We start from the raw sequence: 21,024 nt of genomic DNA on the forward strand, positions 1-21,024 counted from the left end.
AACTATTGAAAGATGTCAACTCAAGCAGAATAAATACAAAGAAAATCACATTTAGGTACATCATAGTCCAACAACTAAAAACCAAAGATAAAGAGAAAATCTTAATAGTTGGCAGGCAAAAACACATAGTCACATTTCCAAAGAGAAATGTTAAGGATTTTCACTTTAGTGTTGTTTGTAATAGCAAAAAGAAAGAAAAGAAAACAATCATAAAGTCCATTTACATAGGAATATTTAAATGTCTTACAGAATCTCCATTCTATAGAATAGAATTTTGAAACAATGAAATGGACCTATATGCATTTATATAAAAATATCTCTAAGACATATAGTGTATTTTTACAATATGTAAATGAGATAATACTATACATATTATTTAACTTGTTTTTCCCCTTAACTACATAATTATAAGCAAATATTTATGCTTTAAATTTTCAGAAAGGAGAAATTTATAGAAGGATATGTATAGATACATATAAAACAATAAATGTATACAAAGATAACAGCAAATTAATAACAGTAGTTTTTTTAATTAGTTTTCTCTTTTAGTTGTTATAAATTACCACAAACTTAGTGCATTAAAACAATACAAATTTAGTATCTTACAGCTCTGGAAGTCAGAACTCCAAAATGGTTCAATACAGCTGTGTGTTCTCTGTAGGCTCTGGTGGAGAATCTGTTTTCTTACCTTTTCCCAGCTTCTAGAGGCCACCTGCATCCCGTGACTATGGCCCCTTCATCACTCCAGCCTCTGCTTTGATTGTCCAATCACTTTTTCTGACTCTGACCCTCCTGCCTCCCTTCTCTAAGGACCCTTGAGATTATACTGCATCCACATGGATACTCCAGGATAATCTTTCTATCTCAAGATCCTTGACTTAATGACATCAACAAAGCTATAATTTAAGTAATACAGTTACAAGCTTTAGGGATTAGGATGTGAACATCTTTAGGGGTGAGGGGCCATTATTCTGTCTACCAACATGGAGTATAGGAGAGTATTTCTCTAGGCACTTTAGGATTGTGTGAATCTTTTACAAGAAAAATATGTTTATTTTCTATTGGTGTAATTAGAAATAAAATGAAAATTAATAAAGTTCTTAAAGTGATTGAGAGTACCAATCAAAGGTAGGTTGAAGGTCAACTTTACTAAAAAAATTATGGTGTGTATTTAGTATAAACCATGTGGCCACCAACTTTGGCACAGTCCTTAGCCCACAGCCCTCAGTAAAAAATAGAGCTAAGACCCTTGAGAGAACCTCTCGAGGTGCCCAATTGGCCTGACACTCCCTTTGTACTGGCCTGACTACTGTGTTGAGACTTCCTTGACTGTTATATCTGCTAAAGTTGAACAAAAATAATATGCCTATTCTCTCTTTTGATAAAGAAACTCCAGAAATGGAAGTTCTGGAATAAAAAGGACACTTTTATTTGTTTATTTTCTTGTCTCTATTTGGGTCTTTTTAAAAATTCAGATAGCCAAATGAGAACTCAAGCTATATCCAACTCACAATGTGATCACTCACATAAAGCAATCTCAAAAGAAACTTCCACTGCTTCAGAGACCAAGGGTTCCTTGGACCGATGGCATGAACAGAGATATGGTCACTTGGAATGTCTTAAGATGACAAAGGTTATAAAGCCAATCTAAACCTGGATATATCTGACTTTGTTTTAGCCTTCATTGGTACTTGTTTAAAGGCAATGACACAATCTGCTTATGTAATAATTACTATCAGCATTAATGATGTGTCTGTCATTCCAAGACCAAAAGAAAGAATGTTTGAAAGAGAGAGAAAAATCAAAGGATGTTTATAATGAGAAAATTATATGTCGAAGGGGAAGGCAGTAATTCTTGACAATATTATAAGAAAATTCTTAAAATAGCACCAATTTTTCTTGTTAACAGCATTGGAAATGAGAGAGCAGCAGTATTTTGGTGAGTATGATATTTTTATGTAAATAACAAGTTGCCAAGAAGATAACTAGGAAATTGTAGACTTTAGAAATTAGGTTCATCAGCCATTTGTACCTATCCTGCCCCAGGAAGAAAGCCTTGTCTGAACTCTTCAAAAAATTGAATGGAGCCAAGATAAGCCATTCTTATTATGTGTTCATATTTTTTAACTGAACTCATGTAAATTTCTTTAGAGGAAGTAAAAGTATTTGTAGGAGATTGCAGATCAAATTCTGGCTCCGTACCTCACTAGATATGTGACCTTAGACAAGGTCTTTGAGCTTTCTGAGCCTCAGCATCCTCATAAAATGGAGAAAATAATATTTACTTCCTAGGATTGGTGGAAAGATTAGACAAAGCACTTAATATAGTGCCTACCATATAGTTGGCATTCAAACATACAACATGCTTATTGCAACTATGATTCATCACCCCTCACAAACCCTCTCCTACTCCCCCACACATGCCCTGTCTTAGGTTTCCTGTTTCACGCCCCTTTCAACACCCTTCAAAAGATGCATGGTATGACTGCGAAGACATGAAACTGAATTTTTAACATACACCAAAACCTCTCTACCAACCAGCATGTGCGTTGGATTATTTTTTTCCTCCATGCAGTCGCATGTGAAGGTGCACACTTACTCCAAATGGGTGGACCATTTATCAAACCATTCTTGAAACTTCAGTCTGGGAATTGCCTTCAGTTCAGTTCAACCATTCTCTCAGGAAAACCTCTCATTGTTTTATGAGCATCTCTGGTTTAGACCAACAAGAGCACACAATTCCTTCTTTATTCAACTAATATTCAATGAAACACATTATGTATGAAGAACTATGCTTGCCTGTGGATGTATTCCAGTAAAATAGACAGGATCCTTGACATCTTGACACTTACAACATAGTAAGAAGACAACCAATAAACAAATAAAGTAGATAAATATATCATTATACATTAAGACAAATGCTACAAAGGAAATGAACATGGTACAGTAATGGAGGATAACTGTGGGGATGCATCTATTTAGTCAGTGAAGAATGATAATCTCTTAATTACATAGGGAAACCATCGAAGGGTTTTAAGCTGGAGAGTGACAAACCTGGACTTAGAATTTCAAACAGGCACTCAGGCTGCTCTGTAGAAAAATGAATGGAGGGTAAAAGTGTATGAGGAACCAGTAAAGAGTAGATATCCAGGCAAGAAATGGTTGTGCTTCAGATGAGAACCCTAGTAGTAGCTATAGAGAGAAGCATATGCATCTGAGAGGGATTTTTGAATTAGAAAAGGCAGAATTGGATGCTGAAGGTGGGGAGTGGAAAAGGAGGAATCCAAGATAACTCCTAGGGAAGCTGGATTACTGATGAAGCCATGGAGCTTCAGCTTTGGGTTCTTCCTTATGGAGAAACCCCAACCAAGGCTTTAGTGAAGGTCTTACCAATAAGTTCTTGGGGTATCTGCGTACATATTTTAAATGGAAGGTCCTCAAATTACATAAGCCTCAGACCCCTCAAAGCCTGTATTTTCCTGCTCCCTGCTTTGCACTTTAACCACCAGGTAGACAGGGACCCATTTTGTGGAGATGAGAAACAAGTGTTGTGGGAAGGGTTGGAGTTCCATTTGGATGCGTGGAGTTTTGGTGCCTGTGGGCATTCAGATTATCAAACAAGATTCTAAATGGCTTCTGAATCTTTCCAGATATCAAATTTACTTTCAAAGAAAAAAACTGTATCATTGACAATATTCAGCTTCCAAACTGGTGGTTCTTGATATTTTTTAATCATCTTTGACCTAGCCGGGCGTGGTAGCTCACGCCTGTAATCCCCATACCTTTGGAGCCCAAGGCAGGTGGATCATTTGAGATGAGGAATTTGAGACCAGCCTGGCCTACATGGTGAAACCCCATCTCTACTAAAAGTACAAAAAAAAAAAAAAATTTAGCCGGGCCTTGTACTACATGCCTGTAGTCCCAGCTACTCAGGAGGCTGAGACAGGAGAATCACTTGAATCTAAGAGGCAAAGGTTGCAGTGAGCCCAGATCAGAGCACTGCACTCCAGCCTGGGTGACAGGGTGAGACTGTCTCAAAAAAAAAAAAAAGAAAGAAAGAAAAAGAAAAAAGAAAAAGAAAACCTATAGGCATTTCCTCTGAGAAAATGCACTTTCACCTATGGTTTAATTCACCCTAACCCAAGAGCTCACCGGTCCCCTAAATGCAGTCACCACACCATGACTGTAAATGCAGTCACGACACCATGAGAGAGGTGATGAGCAGATGTTCTTTTCCCCAAAGATTATACTGATAGGCACAACACCTTTTTCATATACGAATTTTGAAATATTTGTTAAAATCAGCACTATTGCTTCACCATCTCACCTTATTGCTATAAAGGCAATACATTTGAAGACATTTGAAACAGCATGATTTCTCTGCTTAAACCTTCCGAGAATGTTTATTTTCAAAGCACATTCCCATCCTTTCCATGTTCCCAGGCAATGGTATTTTAAAGAACTGAATGTATTTCCTAGCCTCGATAATATGTGCACTTTTTTAAGAACATTCATTGATCACTGGAGAAATTCATGAATACTAAATATTGCTCTGCAGAATGTTATTTGCTAGTTTTCTCCTCTGATGTCACTCAAACATCTTTTGTTTATTCACCAAGTCGTATTACAATGCCTCTGACTTTTCTACCTAATTCCATGATAAACTTGGAAATGGAAAGCATTAGTAGGTGCTCCTCCTCCCATTTTGCTGGTAGGAAAAGAAAAAGGTTATTTGTCAGATCACTGAACCATCGATACAAAATCCATGTAGACCTAAATTCAGTTTCCTATGACAGTAGCAGCTTCTACATAATTTGGTTATCTGGAAATTAAAGGGAACCCCTGAAACAAAGAGAGGCTTCAGTGTCTTTGCAGTCCCCCCTGTGGAACCCACATCCTATTTTTTAAAGATAAGCCTCTTATCCATTTATCACCTCCACTAGACAGGGAGCCCCTTGAGGATAAAGACATCCATAAACCTACCTTTCTGACCACACACTTTGCACATTGTAAATATGAAATGAATTATAAACTTGTTTTGGCTGCCTAGCTTTGTGAATTCAAAATCTGTGTGCTTTTGGTTTTGTGTTTCAGCTACAATATTTTAGCACCTGCTGTCCTGCAGGTACTTTATGAAGCATGTTCCACAAATCGTCTCATTGATTCCTCATGGGAATCATGCTGGCATGATTGTCTCCATTTTGCTGATGAAGAAACAGAGGCTTTGAGGAATTTAGTGACTTGCCCAGATTGCTCAGCATTCAAGAAGCCTTGTCTGACTGCCACGCTCTTGCTCTTTCCATTACCCCATACGGGCTCCACTGGCCACTCTGCTAATGCTGACTTGGCCTCCTAAATGTCTATCAGGCACTCCAAGCATGGTCCTACCTCAGGGCCTTTGCACTTGATCTCTCAGCCATTTATACCACTCACTTCCTCATATCATCCACACCTTAATATCATTTCCTCAGAGAGGCTGTGGCAGACCACACTATCCAAAATAGAACTTCTCCTTTCCCATGGCCACGGCTCTGTTTTGTATTTTTTGTATGCTTGTAGCACACACTCAGCTATGACTATGTTACATTATGTGATACAACTTGAGTTCAACTATTTCCTAAACTTTTAGAACTGAAGACATTTGGAGACTGGTTGCAGATGACTTACTTTTGTAGTTATTGTGTTTCCCTCCATTTGTTTTGTGTTTGTAAGTAGCAGTTTTACCATTTACCGATGCATATGGTTTAAGCAGATAATAGAAGGAGCCAAACTGAAAGCAGGTGAGCAGCATCACCACCCCTGTGGAAACTTTTATTGTATTCCTTTTGATTTGTGGGCATTTATTATTTTCTGTTTCTTCTTTTATTGCTATAAGCACCAGTTTCCATCCCCAGAAAAGGTTAACTAAAAATTAATCCACAAAAAGATTAAAATGGGATGTGTTTCCTAAGCCTTGTTTTCATTTATCATCTTTGTGTTCTTGCTAGTAAAATCTTTTGGCACTTGTTTTAAGTTTGTATTCAATGAGAATTGACAGAGCGTGGGGGCACAAGTTTAGCCGTGATGAAAATTTCACAAAGGATGTAATTAATAACAAAAACAGCAATAAGGATGATAGCTGGCACTTCATGAATGCTCACTACAGGCGAGGTCGCATTCTAACACCCTGTCACATAAGTGCTATTACTACCAGGGATGGATGAGGAGACTGAAACCCAGCTGTTGGAAAACTAGTTGATAATTGAGTGGTAGAGGCAGGATTTAAACTCAGCCATTTCGATCTAAAGCATGCCCTCTTAGCTGCTTTGTAGCTGGCTATTGCAGGTGCATTTGGGAGCTGCTACCAGTTTTCCTTTCCCCTGATTCAGTATGATCATCCTCCAGGGACTGTTAATGGAGCTAGAGTCCAGCTGACAGAATCAGAAGCCTGATGCGCTGGGAGTCAATGTTAGATGCATCCTGAAGTTGTCCTAATAATGAGGTTTAATATTTATTCAATGCTTCTCTAAGTGCTTACACATTTCATAACATCTTTTGATCTCCCCATCAACCATAAGAGGCATGTTATGCTCATTTTACTTTTAGGGAGACAGAGGCAAAAAAAAAAAAAAAAAAAAAAGTCCAGATCCCCTGCCCCAGTTTGCCCAGCTGCTAAGAAGGGAAGACAAGAGTCAGACCCTGGTAGCTTGCTTCAAAAGCCAAAAGCCATCTCCTCACCCACTGCCTTATCTTTAAGAGACTGAAGCTTCTTGTTAAGATGCAGACTTCATGGTGAATTTTTATCTTTTTCTCTTTCTTTCATCTAAATATCTCAAGGGACAGACTGTGCAAGGAGTCTTTAAGCCATGAATACTCTTTAGAACTTACAACAGTAAAAAATAATAGGGGAGTAGGAAAGAGAAACGGTTTCCATAAATCAAGAGGGTTTTTTTTCTCTTCATATGGGCATTTTCAAATGGTGTGGAGTTTTCCAAACAACAAGATTTTTATATTTGTGGGGGATTTAGATTCAATCAATAGCCTCAGATTTCACATGATTAAAGTAATTCTAAACCTGTCAAAAATTCTGACCCATAAACCACATCTATATGTTGGAACCAGATCAACCACAGAAGTCAAAAATCTTATTTTTTGAGATGTGTCATCAACTGGGCAGTACATAGTGAACACCCCCAAGTAACACAACTCATTTGTGAAAACAATTAGAAGAGAAGCCCTTCAAGGATCAAGAAATGAACCATCAAACCCATGTCTTTAAATGTTTTTAAGCACAGTCTCACTACCATTTGAAAATACTCAGAAACTGTCAACAAACTCTCACATCATGGTGAAAAGCAATACTGTAATGGTCTACATTTAATAGGTATTTCGACACAAGTTGAAAAGTTGAGTGGCAAACTGCTTCACAAACTTAGTGTGCACAGGAATCACCTAGAGGTTGGGATGGGGGACAGTTCTTGTTAAAATAAATACCTAATTCAGCAGGTCTGTGTTAGAGCTTAAGATTTTGCATTCCACACAAGTTTCCAGGTAATGCCAATGCTGCTGGTCCAGGGGTCACATTTTAAATATACAGCTTAGATCCTGAAAATGTCACAGGCTATGAGGTCAGACAGATCTGGGGCTGAACCCCATTTCTGCCACTTCTTGGCTATATGACTTCGAGCAAACGTTTATCCTGTCCAAACCTCTGTTTCCTCATCTGTGCAATGGTGCTTGATAAGGCAGAGCCCCATAAGATTGTTGTAAGAGTGGAATGTAATTACCTGTACAGTGCATAAAAAAGTAGGAATTCAATTATCAAAAGCCATATTAGTACTAATTCATATTATTTACATTATTATATTAATAATAATTATTAGCTAAAGTGATTGAAACAAACTGGGAAAGGATGCTAGAGATGAAGTTGAAAATGTTAATGGAATCCCAAAAGCCATCAAATGAGTTTCTTTCACTCATTTATTGAGCATCTTTCTGTGCCAGCCATAGCTTAAGAATCTTGTATGTATAGTAGCCCCCCAATACATAAGGGATATGTTCCAAGACCCCCAGTAGACACCTGAAACCATGGATAGCTCTAAACCTTATATATACTATGTTATTTAACACATACATGCTTATGATAAGGTTTAACTTTGTCATATGATAGGTATGTATGTAAAAGATTAACAACAATTAGTAACAGAACTTTTATAACCATGTATTGTAATGAGAGTTACGTGAATGTGCAAATGCGCGTGTGTGCGCTCTCTCTCCCTTCCTCAAAACATCTTCATATTTTTGAACCTCTGTGGATCACAGTAACTGAAACCAAGGAAAGTGAAAACCTCCGATGAGATTGGACTACCGTATCCTCCCATAACTGAAAGCGTAAATCGGCTCATTTAGTTATTACCAGAAGCCATCAAGTAGATGGTAACACCAGCTGCATTTCACAGAGAAGGGAACAGGTTCAGGATTATTACGTAACTTACCCTAAGTTTTACAGCCCACAAGTGACAAAATGAGGACTTGAACTTGGGTCTTTCTGGCTCGCAAGCTGTTGTTCTTAAATAATGGCCTTGAGTACACAGCTGGTAGACTAATGTGAGTGAGGTGTGGTTCCTACCTTACTGGACCTCTCAGTCCCCAGCAGAGGCTAGCTGAGGGTAATTTAAGATATACTTCCAACAGACAAAGCCATTTCAATTATTCTAAAAGAATTGGAAAGCCTTATCAATGAAGCATCTTCTTACATAGATTTTCAGTAAAAACCTCAGCATTGGTATGTTGTCAGGAGGAATCTTTGGATACGCTGATCTCCCAGTTATTCTTTAGAAGCCTAGTTGCTCTAGAAGTAAGCAATGTAAATGTCTTCTGCTTGAATTTCCTCATCTATTAAATGGAGCCACCTTCAAGGAGTTATTCCACTCCTTTTGTACCAAATTGCTTTTCACTTTTCCTCTAGTTCATGCCTATGTAATCCTGAGTATTTCATTTGCTGACTTATTGATGCTGGACACAGGTGAGAGACCTAGTGAATAAAGCTCTGTTCTTTGATTGCTTGTATAACTCAGGGCTCTATTTGCCACAAGTGACAGAAATCCAATTCAGACTAGCTTAAGAAGAAGAAAAGTTATTTGGTGACTCACCTACCTAAGAAGTCTGGGGATAGGTCTGGCTTCAGGAACAGCAAGACCAGGGGTTCAAACAATGTAATCAGGACCTAGTATCTCCATCTCTCAGTTCTGCTTTCTTTGCGATGACTTCTCAGGTATTTTTGATGGTGGCAAAATGGCCTATGGTAACTTAATGCTTACATTTCTACCAGAATGTATATTTTCTTCCCAGTGGTTTCAGGAGAAGTCCTGGGATTTACTCTGATGCAGTGATTTGGGACACAGGTCTATCCTTGAACCAATCATCATGGCTGAGGGAATGAAATATGCTGATTGGCCAGGCCTTGATCATGTGATCGCATCTAAGCCATGGTAGGGCAGGGTTATCCAGTAACCAGGAGGATAGGGTGTGGGAAAAGGTGCTCTACAAAGATGCTGTTGCCCATATAAGAGAAAGGAAATGTTAGGAGACGAAAATATTAGAAAGCCACCATGGTGCTTACAGATAGTCTCACAAGATACCAAGAAATCCCAAAAGGATTAGAGGAAGCTGCAGAGTTAAGGAGTTAGAGATGCAATTGTGAAAAGGTTTATTCCATCTTTCCTGATGATTATTTCCAATGCTATAACATGGTTCTGACGGTGAGCATAAAAGAGCTTTAAAATGGTGGAGGAATGCAGGCTGATGATTGGGAAAAGAGTTTCTTATGATTGCTCCTAGTCCACAATGATACAGACTTTGAGGCAGAATGAAGGTGTGATTCTGCCTACCTTCCCTATTTCTCTGTGGACACTGGAAGATAATAAAATTTCCTAAGTTACTACAAAAGCGATTTATCTTTATCATGGATTTTTTAGGTTTCTCCGAGATCCCAAAGAGCAATTACTTCTGTGAATGAGGTATTCTCCCTAGCAACCTAGGGGAATATCAATGTGGACTCTGGTACTGAAAAACTGTAGCAAAACACTTTTCTGATTGCCACTTGATGTATTGAAGAAATTCAGTCTGTAAATGCAAAATATATCTATGTGTTTGCATGCACATTCACACACAGATTTGTAGAAATCAATCAGTTAAATGCAGTAGACCACTCAATGCTAAAGAGTTAAGCAAAAGGTAGAAACAGAAAAATTATCATGACCAGCACAAATGCTCTCTGGGACCTCAGGGATCTGGAAACCATGGAAATAGCAATTGTATTCAAGGTTATTTTACATGATCCACATATCAATGAAGAAGTTTCATATTTGGGGAATTTAATGATCCACAAAAAATTTCCAGCAAGTTAAAAAACTATATAGTGTTGATTAGCGTATTGGATTTTCACAACTTTTTCAGTTTGATCTTGTCATGAGGGACACCAAAGAGTTGATGGACTTAATAAATTACCCTAGAAACTCAGTAAAGAGTGCAAATCTAAGATAAATGGTACTGAAAACATTTTCCAAGATCCTATCTATGACTTTTACAAAGTTGGCCCTCCTTGCTTGGAGAATTCAGAATTGCTATAAGTGTAAGTAGCAAAAACTTCAGTTCCAACTGACTTAAGCACCAAAGAAATTAAGATAATTTTCTGGTTTATTTAACTGAAGAATGCAAGATAGCCTGCAGGTGTGGCTGTATCAAGAACTCAGTTGCCATCTGGACTTGGTTTTCCCTCTTCTTTTCAGCTCTGCTTCTATTGATTGATTTTATCCTCAGGCCTCATACTGTGGCCTGCCTGGCTCCAGACTGGCATCATCCCAGGTTCAAGACAGTTGGAAATAGACTGCCTTGCTGGTATGATACAAGTGCTGAGATTCTCTCCAGATAGATCAAGCTGGATCATGTGTCTCTCCTGAATCGGCCACCGTGGCCAGAGGAGTTTGAGTCCCTGATTTGCTACCTTTGGAGAACAGAGTTCATTTTAGTAGGGTGGTTTCTCAAAAGAAATGCAAAATGCTATTATAAGAAGATGAAAAACAGCGTTTCTTCATAGCCCACAAAAAGAGGCCATTAATGGGTCTTGAAAGAGCTACAAGCAGATCTACCATTCAATCCAGCAATCCTACTACTTGGTATCTTTTCAAAGGAAAAGAAGTCATTATATGTAAAAGACACTTTCACACACATATGTTTATGCAGCATATTCACAACTGCAAAGGTGTGGAACCAATCTAAGTGCCCATTGACTAATGAGTGGGTAAAAAAAAATACGATATATACACCATAGAATACTACTTGGCCGTTAAACGGAACAAAATAATGTCTTTTGCAGCAACTTGGATGGAGCTGGAGGCCATTATTCTAAGTGAAATAACACAGGAGTGGAAAACCAAAAACTGTATGTTCTCACTTATAAGTAAGAGCTAAGCGATGAGTAGGCAAAGGCATACAGAGTGATGTAATTGACTTTAGAGACTCAGAAGAAAGAGGGTGGGAGAAGGACTAGGGATTTAAAAAAGCTACACATTAGGTACAGTGTACACTATTTGGATAAGAGGTGCACTAAAATCTCAGAATTCACTGCTATGTAATTCATCCATGTAATAAAAAAAACCAGTTGTACCCTAAAAGCTACTGAAATAAATAAAAAGAAAAAAGGTGGGGTGAGGGTGCCTGGGAAGCAATTAAAGCTTCCATCAAGGCCAAGAGCAAATGGTTACTCATAGATAGACAAAAGAGAGCCACCTTATTAGTCTTCCTGACTCATCTGTTTTCAAGTCATTGTTCTGCTCCCCATCCAGTTTATTTCTAGCCCATTTGCAAATCAAAACCACAGACTCCACAACCCAGAGCTGTTAGGGTTTCATAAAAAAGTGATTTTTGGGCCCAGACATGCGGCTTATATCCATAATCCCAAAACTTTGGAAGGCTGAGGCAGAAGGATTGCTTGAGGCCAGAAATCTGAGACCAGCCTGGACAACATAGCAAGACTCTGTCTCTATAGAAGAAGGTGTTTTAAATAGCCGGATGTGGTGGCATACACCCATAGTCCTAGCTACTCAGGAGGCTGAGGCAAGAGGATCATCACCTGGCCCCAGAAGTTCAAGGTTGCAGTAAGCTATGATTGCACCACTGTACTCCAGCCTGGGTGACAGAGAAAGATTGTGTCTCTGTAAGAAAATTTATTTTAAAGATGTTGAATTTTGTATGTGATTTTTCTCTTTGCCCTAGGCAACTAAGCCCAACCTCTCTGGGGCCTTTTCAATTAACTAGAAATTATGCAGAACAATGTTCAATCAAATAGTATGGCTTTTCAAAGGCACAGTGAAGAAAGTATGAATGGAGAACCTCCAGCCAAAAGTTCACACAGAAGTTTTGGCTTTATGGGGAGTATTTGAAAGAAACATTGAAAATATGAAATCCAAATAAATAAGAATTGCTACCCTTTACATATAAAATGGAGAAACTGATTTTTCTTCAGTACAACACATGCTTCTATATTTTCTTCAACAGATGTTTCTTTCCTTAATAAAATATAAGTAGATAAGTTGGCAATTAGCAGAACTCAAAGAACAACTTCTAAGACTTCTAAAGACTTATAAAAACTAAGACTTGTAAAACTTCTTGTCTCTTTTAGAAGCCATAGCTTTGTAAATACTGACCTAAAGTTTCCCAACATCCTATGCCATGCTTGCTGCTAAGAATAAATTAAAGAAACAGTTAATTATTTATAAAATGAATAGCAGATATACTAAAGGAGCTCCCTTCTTGAGGATACAATCATTTCCTAAAAGAAAAATCATTTTATCATGAGAATAATTACTCCCTAACCTCAGGATAAAACATAAATATGTGCCAACTCTTCTTGATTCAATAACCACCTTGAGTAGGGGTCAGCAAATTTGTTCTGAAGGCCAGATGGCAAATATTTTAGGCTTTGTGAGATATGATCTCTATCACAACTACTCAACTCTGCCAGCGAAATGCCAGAGCCCCATAAACAAATAAACCAGGGGCTGTGTTCTAATAAAACTTTATTTATGAAAACAGGGAGCGAGCACTATTTAGCCCGACTGGCCATAATCTACTGACCTCTGACCTAGAACGCAGTGTTGAGATGGATTCTGAGGTTTTGTCTGAGCTCAGTAGGAGAGACTGTCAAGATCAATTGGTGATGCCTGCTAAATGGGAGGAAAGGAAGTGTCACAGCACTTAACCCTTTTGCCATTTAGGAAAAAAAAAAAGTGCAGCTCGCTGCTGGCACTCATTTAATTTTACATAAACACACTCTTTGAGGCTGAAGCAAATCCTACTGATTTTCAATGTGAAAATAAAATATAAAAACCATTCTTGGAGTTATTTCTAAACAGAACTGACATCAGGATCATCTGAATCATTAGAATCATCTATTTCAGAAAAATCTAATTCATCAAATGAATCTTCGGTCAACAACTGTTCAAGAACAATGTTAACATCACTCATAGCAATGCTACGTTTTCAGCCGGGCACGTTGGCTCATGCCTGTAATCCCAGCACTTTGGGAGACCAAGGCAGATGGATCACGAGGTCAGGAGATGGAGACCATCCTGGCTAACATGGTGAAACCCCGTCTCTACTACAATAGAAAAAAAAATTAGCCAGGCATGGTGGCTCAAGCCTATAGTCCCAGCTACTTGGGAGGCTGAGGCAGGGGAATCGCTTGGACCCGAGGGGCAGAGATTGCAGTGAGCTGAGATCATGCCACTGCACTCCAGCCTGGCAACAGAGAGAGACCCAATCTCAAAACAAAAAAAAAAAAAAAAAAAAAAAAAAGAAATGCTACGTTTTCTAGGATTTGACATTTTCAGCTATCAAGAATTACTATATTTTGTAAATGGAAATACTACTACTAAAAATAGAATGCTGTAAATAGAATGGTCTCTTTTGTTTCCAAAGTGAATATATAGAGCAATGTGAAAATAATAATAAAAGCGAGATATTTCATGGCAAAGTTATCTCGGGGTAAATGCTGCAGCTGTAAGCACCACCAGTGAGTATTCTTGGGGCAAATGGGAAAACGGTTAAACTGAATATCTGATATTGCTGCAAACCAACAATTTGTTATTTTATCCACATGCCCCAAAATGTCCCATGTCAGGAATTGTGAACTGGCTGCCTAGAGTGGAAGGGGTAGTGTGGATTTTCTTTTGAGGTTAACTAATTGCCCTAGATAGGGATCAAGTTTATGACCTTGGGCCTCATTAGCATCAGCCTTAACCAGCTGCAATATCTCGCTACAGATCAGGCTGTGGGAAGAGCAAGAAAACATAATGTCTTTGTTCTTTTGAAACAGTAGCAACTCACACTGAGAAAATGATCATTAGGAGAACGAAGAGTTAGTGTCTGTCTTAATTTAATCTCTTGTCGTTAGATATCCTTAGCTCTTCTACTTCAGGGACTGTAGACTAATGGAACTTATATTAAACATTCTACACCATCAATAAGCAGAGGCTGCTGCTATCTCCTTTACAAGGTAGATAATACACCACTTAGTAAGAAAACTGGAAATTATTCCCAAACTATATAAGAATATGAGAGAGTGGCTGGCAAGATGACCGAATAGGAACAGCTCTGGTCTGCAGCTCCCAGCGAGATCAAAGCAGAAGGTGGGAGATTTCTGCATTTTCAACTGAGGTACCTGGTTCATCTCATTGGTACTGATTAGACAGTGGGTGCAGCCCACAAAGGGTGAGCCGAAGCAGGGTGTTGCCTCACCTGGGAAGCACAAGGGCTCGGGGAACTCCTTCCCCTAGCCAGGGAAAGCCGAGCGGCACTGTGCTGTGAGGAATGGTGCATTCCGGCCCAGATACTATGCTCTTCCCACGGTCTTTGCAACCAAAAACCAGGATATTCCCTTGGGTGCCTACAGGGCCCTGGGTTTCAAGCACAAAACTGGGCAGCTGTTTGGGCAGACGCTGAGCTAGTTGCAGGAGTGTTTTTTTTTTTTTTTTCATACCCCAATTGTGCCCGGAACACCAGTGAGATAGAACCATTTACTCCCCTGGAAAGGGGGCTGAAGCCAGTGAGCCAAGTGCTCTAGCTCAGCAGATCTCACCCCCATGGAGTCCAGCAAACTAAGATCCACTGGTTTGAAATTCTCACTGTCAGTACAGCAGTCTGAAGTCAACCTGGGACGCTCAAGCTTGGTGGGGATAGGGGTGTCTGCCATTACTAAGGCTTGAGTAGATGGTTTCCCCCTCACAGTGTAAACAAAGCCGCCAGCAAGTTAGAACTGAGCGGAGCACACTGCACAGAGCCCGCTGCAGCTTGGCAAACCCACTGTAGCCAGACTGCCTCTCTAGAGTCCTCCTATCTGGGCAGGGCATCTCTGAAAGAAAGGCAGCAGCCCCAGTCAGGGGCTTATAGATAAAATTCCCATCTCCCTGGGATAGAGCACCTGGGAGAAGCGGCAGCTGTGGATGCAGCTTCAGCAGACTTAAATGTTCCTGCCTGCCAGCTCCAGCACTGCTCTGAAGAGAGCAGTGGATCTCCCAGCACAGTGCCTGAGCTCTGCTAAGGGACAGACTGCCTCCTCAAGTGGGTCCCTGGCCCCCATGCCTCCTGACTGGGAGACACCTCCCAGCAGGGGTTGACAGACACCTCATACAGGAGAGCTCCAGCTGGCATCTGGTGGGTGCCCCTCTGGGACGAAGCTTCCAGAGGATGGAACAGGCAGCAAACTTTGCTGTTCTGCAGCTTCTGCTGGTGACACCCAGACAAAGAGATTCTGGAGGAGACCTCCAGCAAACTCCAGCAGACCTGCAGCACAGAGGCCTGACTCTTAGAAGGAAAACTAACAAAAAGGAATAGCTTCAACATCAACAAAAAGGACATCCACACAGAAACCCCATCCAAAGGTCACCAACATCAAAGATCAAAGGTAGATAAATACACAAAGATGAGGAAAAACCAGTGCAAAAAATTTGAAAATTCCAAAAACCAGAACGCTTCTTCCCCTCCGAAGGATTACAACTCCTCACAAGCAAGGGAACAAAACTGGATGGAGAATGAGTTTGACAAATTGTCAGAAGTAGGCTTCAGAAGTTGGGCAATAACAAACTCCTGCGAGCTAAAGGAGCATGTTCTAACCCAATGCAAGGAAGCTAGGAATGTTGAAAAGAGGTTAGACAAATTGCTAACTAGAATAACCAGTTTAGAGAAGAACATAAATAACCTGATGAAGCTGAAAAACACAGTACAAGAATTTAGTGAAGCATACACAAGTTTCAATATCCAAATCAATCAAGGGGAAGAAATGATATCAGAGACTGAAGATCAACTTAATAAAATAAAGTGTGAAGACAAGATTAGATATGGAACATATGGGACTATGTGAAAAGACCAAACCTACGTTTGATTGGTGTACCTGAAAGTGACGAGGAGAATGGAACCAAGTTGGAAAACACTCTTCAGGATATTATCCAGGAGAACTTCCCCAACCTAGCAAGACAGCCCAACATTCAAATTCAGGAAATACAGAGAATAGCACAAAGATACTCCTTGAAAAGAGCAATCCGAAGACACATAATTGTCAGATTCACCAAGGTTGAAATGAAGGAAAAAAATGTTAAGGGCAGCCAGAGGGAAAGGTTGAGTTACCCACAAAGGGAAGCCCATCAGACTGACAGTGGATCTCTCTGCAGAAACCCTACAAGCCGGAAGAGAAGGGGAGCCAATATTCAACCCTCTTAAGGAAAAGAATTTTCAACCCAGAATTTTACATCCAGCCAAACTAAGCTTCATAAGCAAAGAAGAAATAAAATCCTTTATAGACAAGCAAATGCTGAGAGATTTTGTCACCACCAGGCCTGCCTTACAAGAGCTCCTGAAGGAAGCACTAAATATGGAAAGGAAAAACTGGTGCCAGCCCCTGAAAAAACTTACCAAATTGTAAAGACCATTGACACTATGAAGAAACTGCATCAACTAATGGGCAAAATAACCAGCTAGCATCATAATGACAGGATCAAATTCACACATAACAATATTAACCTTAAATGTAAACAGGCTCAATGCCCCAGTTAAAAGACACACACTGGCAAATTAGATAAAGAGTCAAGACCCATCAGTGTGCTGCATTCAGGAGACCCATCTCACATGCAAAGACACACACAGGCTCAAAATAAAGGGATGGAAGAATACTTACCAAGCAAATGGAAAGCAAAGAAAAAAAAAAAAGCAGGTGTTGCAATCCTAGTCTCTGATAAAACAGACTTTAAACCAACAAAGATCAAAAGAGACAAAGAAGGCCATTACATAATGGTAAAGGGATCAATGCAATAAGATGAGCTAACTATCCTAAATATATATGTACCCAATACAAGAGCACCTAGATTCATAAAGCAAGCCCTTAGAGACCTACAAAGAGACTTAGACTCCCACACAACAATAGTGGGAGACTTTAACACCCCACTGTCAATATTAGACAGATCAACGAGGCAGAAAATTAACAAGGATATTCAGGAATTGAACTCAGCTCTGGACCAAGCGGACCTAATAGACATCTACAGAACTCTCCACCCCATTCTGTTGAATGTAAATCAACAGAATATACATTCTTCTCAGCACCACATCACACTTATTCCAAAACTGACCACATAGTTGGAAGTAAAGCACTCCTCAGCAAATGTAAAAGAACAGAAATCATAACAGTCTCTCAGCCCACAGTGTAATCAAATTAGAACTCAGGATTAAGAAACTCACTCAAAACCACACAACTACATGGAAACTGAACAACCTGCTCCTGAATGACTACTGACTGGGTAAATAACAAAATTAAGGAAGAAATAAATAAGTTCTTTGAAACCAGTGAGAACAAAGACACAATATACCAGAATCTCTGGGACACAGCTAAAGCAGTGTTTAGAGGGAAATTTATAGCACTAAATGCCCACAGGAGAAAGTGGGAAAGATCTAAAATCAACACTCTAACATCATAGTTAAAAGAACTAGAGAAGCAAGAGCAAACAAATTCAAAAGCTAGCAGAAGTCAAGAAATAAGATCAGAGCAGAACTGAAGGAGATAGAGACAAGAAAAATCCTTCAAATAATCAATGAATCCAGGAGCTGTTTTTTTAAAAAAAAGATTAACAAAATAAACTGCTAGCCAGACTAATAAAGAAGAAAAGAGAGAAGAATCAAATAGACACAATAAAAAATGATAAAGGGAATATCACCACTGATCCTTCAGAAATACATACCACCATCAGAGAATATTATAAACACCTTTATGCAAATAAACTAGAAAATCTAGAAGAAAAGAATAAATTCCTGGACATGTACACCCTCCCAAGTCTAAACCAGGAAGAAGTTGAATCCCTGAATAGACCAATAACAAGTTCTGAAATTGAGGCAGTAATTAATAGTCTACGAATCAAAAAAAGCCCAGGAACAGATTGATTCACAGCCAAATTCTACCAAAGGTACAAAGAGGAGCTGGTACCATTCCATCTGAAACTATTCCAAATAATAGAAAAAGAAGGACTCCTTCCTAACTCATTTACTGAGGCCAGCATCATTCTGATACCAAAACCTGGCAGAGACACAACAAAAAAAGAAAATTTCAGGCCAATATCCTTGATGAACATCGAGGTAAAAATCCTCAATAAAATACTGGCAAACCAAATCCAGCAGCACATCAAAAAGCTTATCCACCACGATCAAGTTGACTTCATCCCTGGGATGCAAGATGGGTTTAACATACCTGAATCAATAAATGTAATCCATCACATCAACAGAACCAATGACAAAAACCACATGATTATCTCAATAGATACAGAAAAGGTCTTCAATAAAATTCAACAACACTTCATGTTAAAAACTCTCAAGAAACTAGGTATTGATGGAATGTATCTCAAAATAATAAGAGATATTCATGACAAACCCACAGCCAATATCATACTGAATGGGCAAAAGCTGGAAGCCTTCGCTTTGAAAACTGGCACGAGATAAGAATGCCCTCTCTCACCACTCCTATTCAACATAGTATTGGAAGTTCTGGCCAGGGCAATCAAGCAAGAGAAAGAAATAAGGGGTATTCAAATAGGAAGAGAAGAAGGCAAATTGTCTCTGTTTGCAGATGACATGATTGTATATTTAGAAAACCCCATCGTCTCAGCCCAAAATCTCCTTAAGCTGATAAGCAGCTTCAGCAAAGTCTCAGGATACAAAATCAATGTGCAAAAATCACAAGCATTCCTATACACCAATAACAGACAAACGGAGAGCCAAATCATGAGTGAACTCTCATTCACAATTGCTACAAAGACAATAAAATACCCAGGTAATACAACTTACAACGCATGTGAAGGACCTCTTCAAGGAGAACTACAAACCACTGCTCAAGGAAATAAGGGAGGACACAAACAAATGGAAAAACATTTGATGCTCATGGATAGGAAGAATCAATATCATCAAAATGGCCATACTGCCCAAAGTAATTTATAGATTCAGTGCTATCCACATCAAGCTACCATTGACTTTCTTCACAGAATTAGAAACGACTACTTTAAATTTCATAGGGAATTTTAAAAGATCCTGTATAGCCAAGGCAGTCCTAAGCAAAAAGAACAAAGCTGGAGTCATCACACTACCTGACTTCAAACTATGCTACAAGGCTACAGTCACCAAAACAGCATGGTACTGGTACAAAAACAGATATATAGACCAATGGAACAGAACAGAGGCCTCATAAATAATGCCACACATCTACAACCATCTGATCTTTGACAAACCTGACAAAAACAAGCAATGGGGAAAGGATTTCCTATTTAATAAATGGTGTTTGGAAAACTGGCTAGCCATATGTAGAAAAGTGAAACTGGACCCCTTCCTTACTCCTTATACAAAAATTAACTCAAGGTGGATTGAAGACTTAAACGTAAGACCTAAAACCATAAAAACCCTTGAAGAAAACCTAGGCAATACCATTCAGGACATAGGCATAGGCAAAGACTCATGACTAACACACCAGAAGCAATGGCAACAAAAGCCAAAATTGACAAATGGAATCTAATTAAACTAAAGAGCTTCTGCACAGCAAAAAAAAAAAAAAAACTATCATCAGAGTGAACAGGCAACCTATAGAATGGGAGAAAATGTTTGCAATCTATCCATCTGACAAAGGGCTAATATCTAGAATCTACAAGGAAGTTAAACAAATTTACAAGAAAAAAACAACCCCATCAATAAGTGGGTGTAGGATATGAACAGACACTTCACAAAAGAAGACATTTATGCGGCCAACAAACATATGAAAAAAAGCTCATCATCACTGGTCATTAGAGAAAGGCAAATCAAAACGACAATGAGATAGCATCTCACACCAGTTAGAATGCTAATTATTAAAAAGTCAGGAAACAACGGATGTCAGAGAGGATGCAGAGAAATAGGAACACTTTTACACTGTTGGTGGGAGTGTAAATTAGTTCAATCATTGTGGAAGACTGTGTGGTGATTCCTCAAGGATCTAGAACCAGAAATACCATTTGACCCAGCAATCCCATTACTGGGTATATACCCAAAGGATTATAAGTTATTCTACTATAAAGACCCATGCACACATTATGTTTATTGCAGCACTATTCACAATAGCAAACACTTGGAACCAACCCAAATGCCCATCAATGATAGACTGGATAAAGAAAATGTGGCACATATACACCATGGAATACTATGCAGCCATAAAAAAGGACGTGGATGAAGCTGGAAACCATCATTCTCAGCAAACTAACACAGGAATAGAAAACCAAACACCGCATGTTCTCACTCATAAGTGGGAGTTGAACAATGAAACCACATGGACACAGGGAGGGGAACATCATACACCAGGGCCTGTCGTGGGGTTGGGGGTATGGGGAGGGATGGCATTAAGAGAAATACCTAATGTAGACGACAGGTTAATGGGTGTGGAAAACCACCATGGCATGTGTATACTTATGTAACAAGCCTGCACATTCTGTA

This window comes from Homo sapiens, chromosome 20, assembly GCF_000001405.40.
Source record: "Homo sapiens chromosome 20, GRCh38.p14 Primary Assembly".
Classification (NCBI taxonomy): Eukaryota; Metazoa; Chordata; class Mammalia; order Primates; family Hominidae; genus Homo; species Homo sapiens.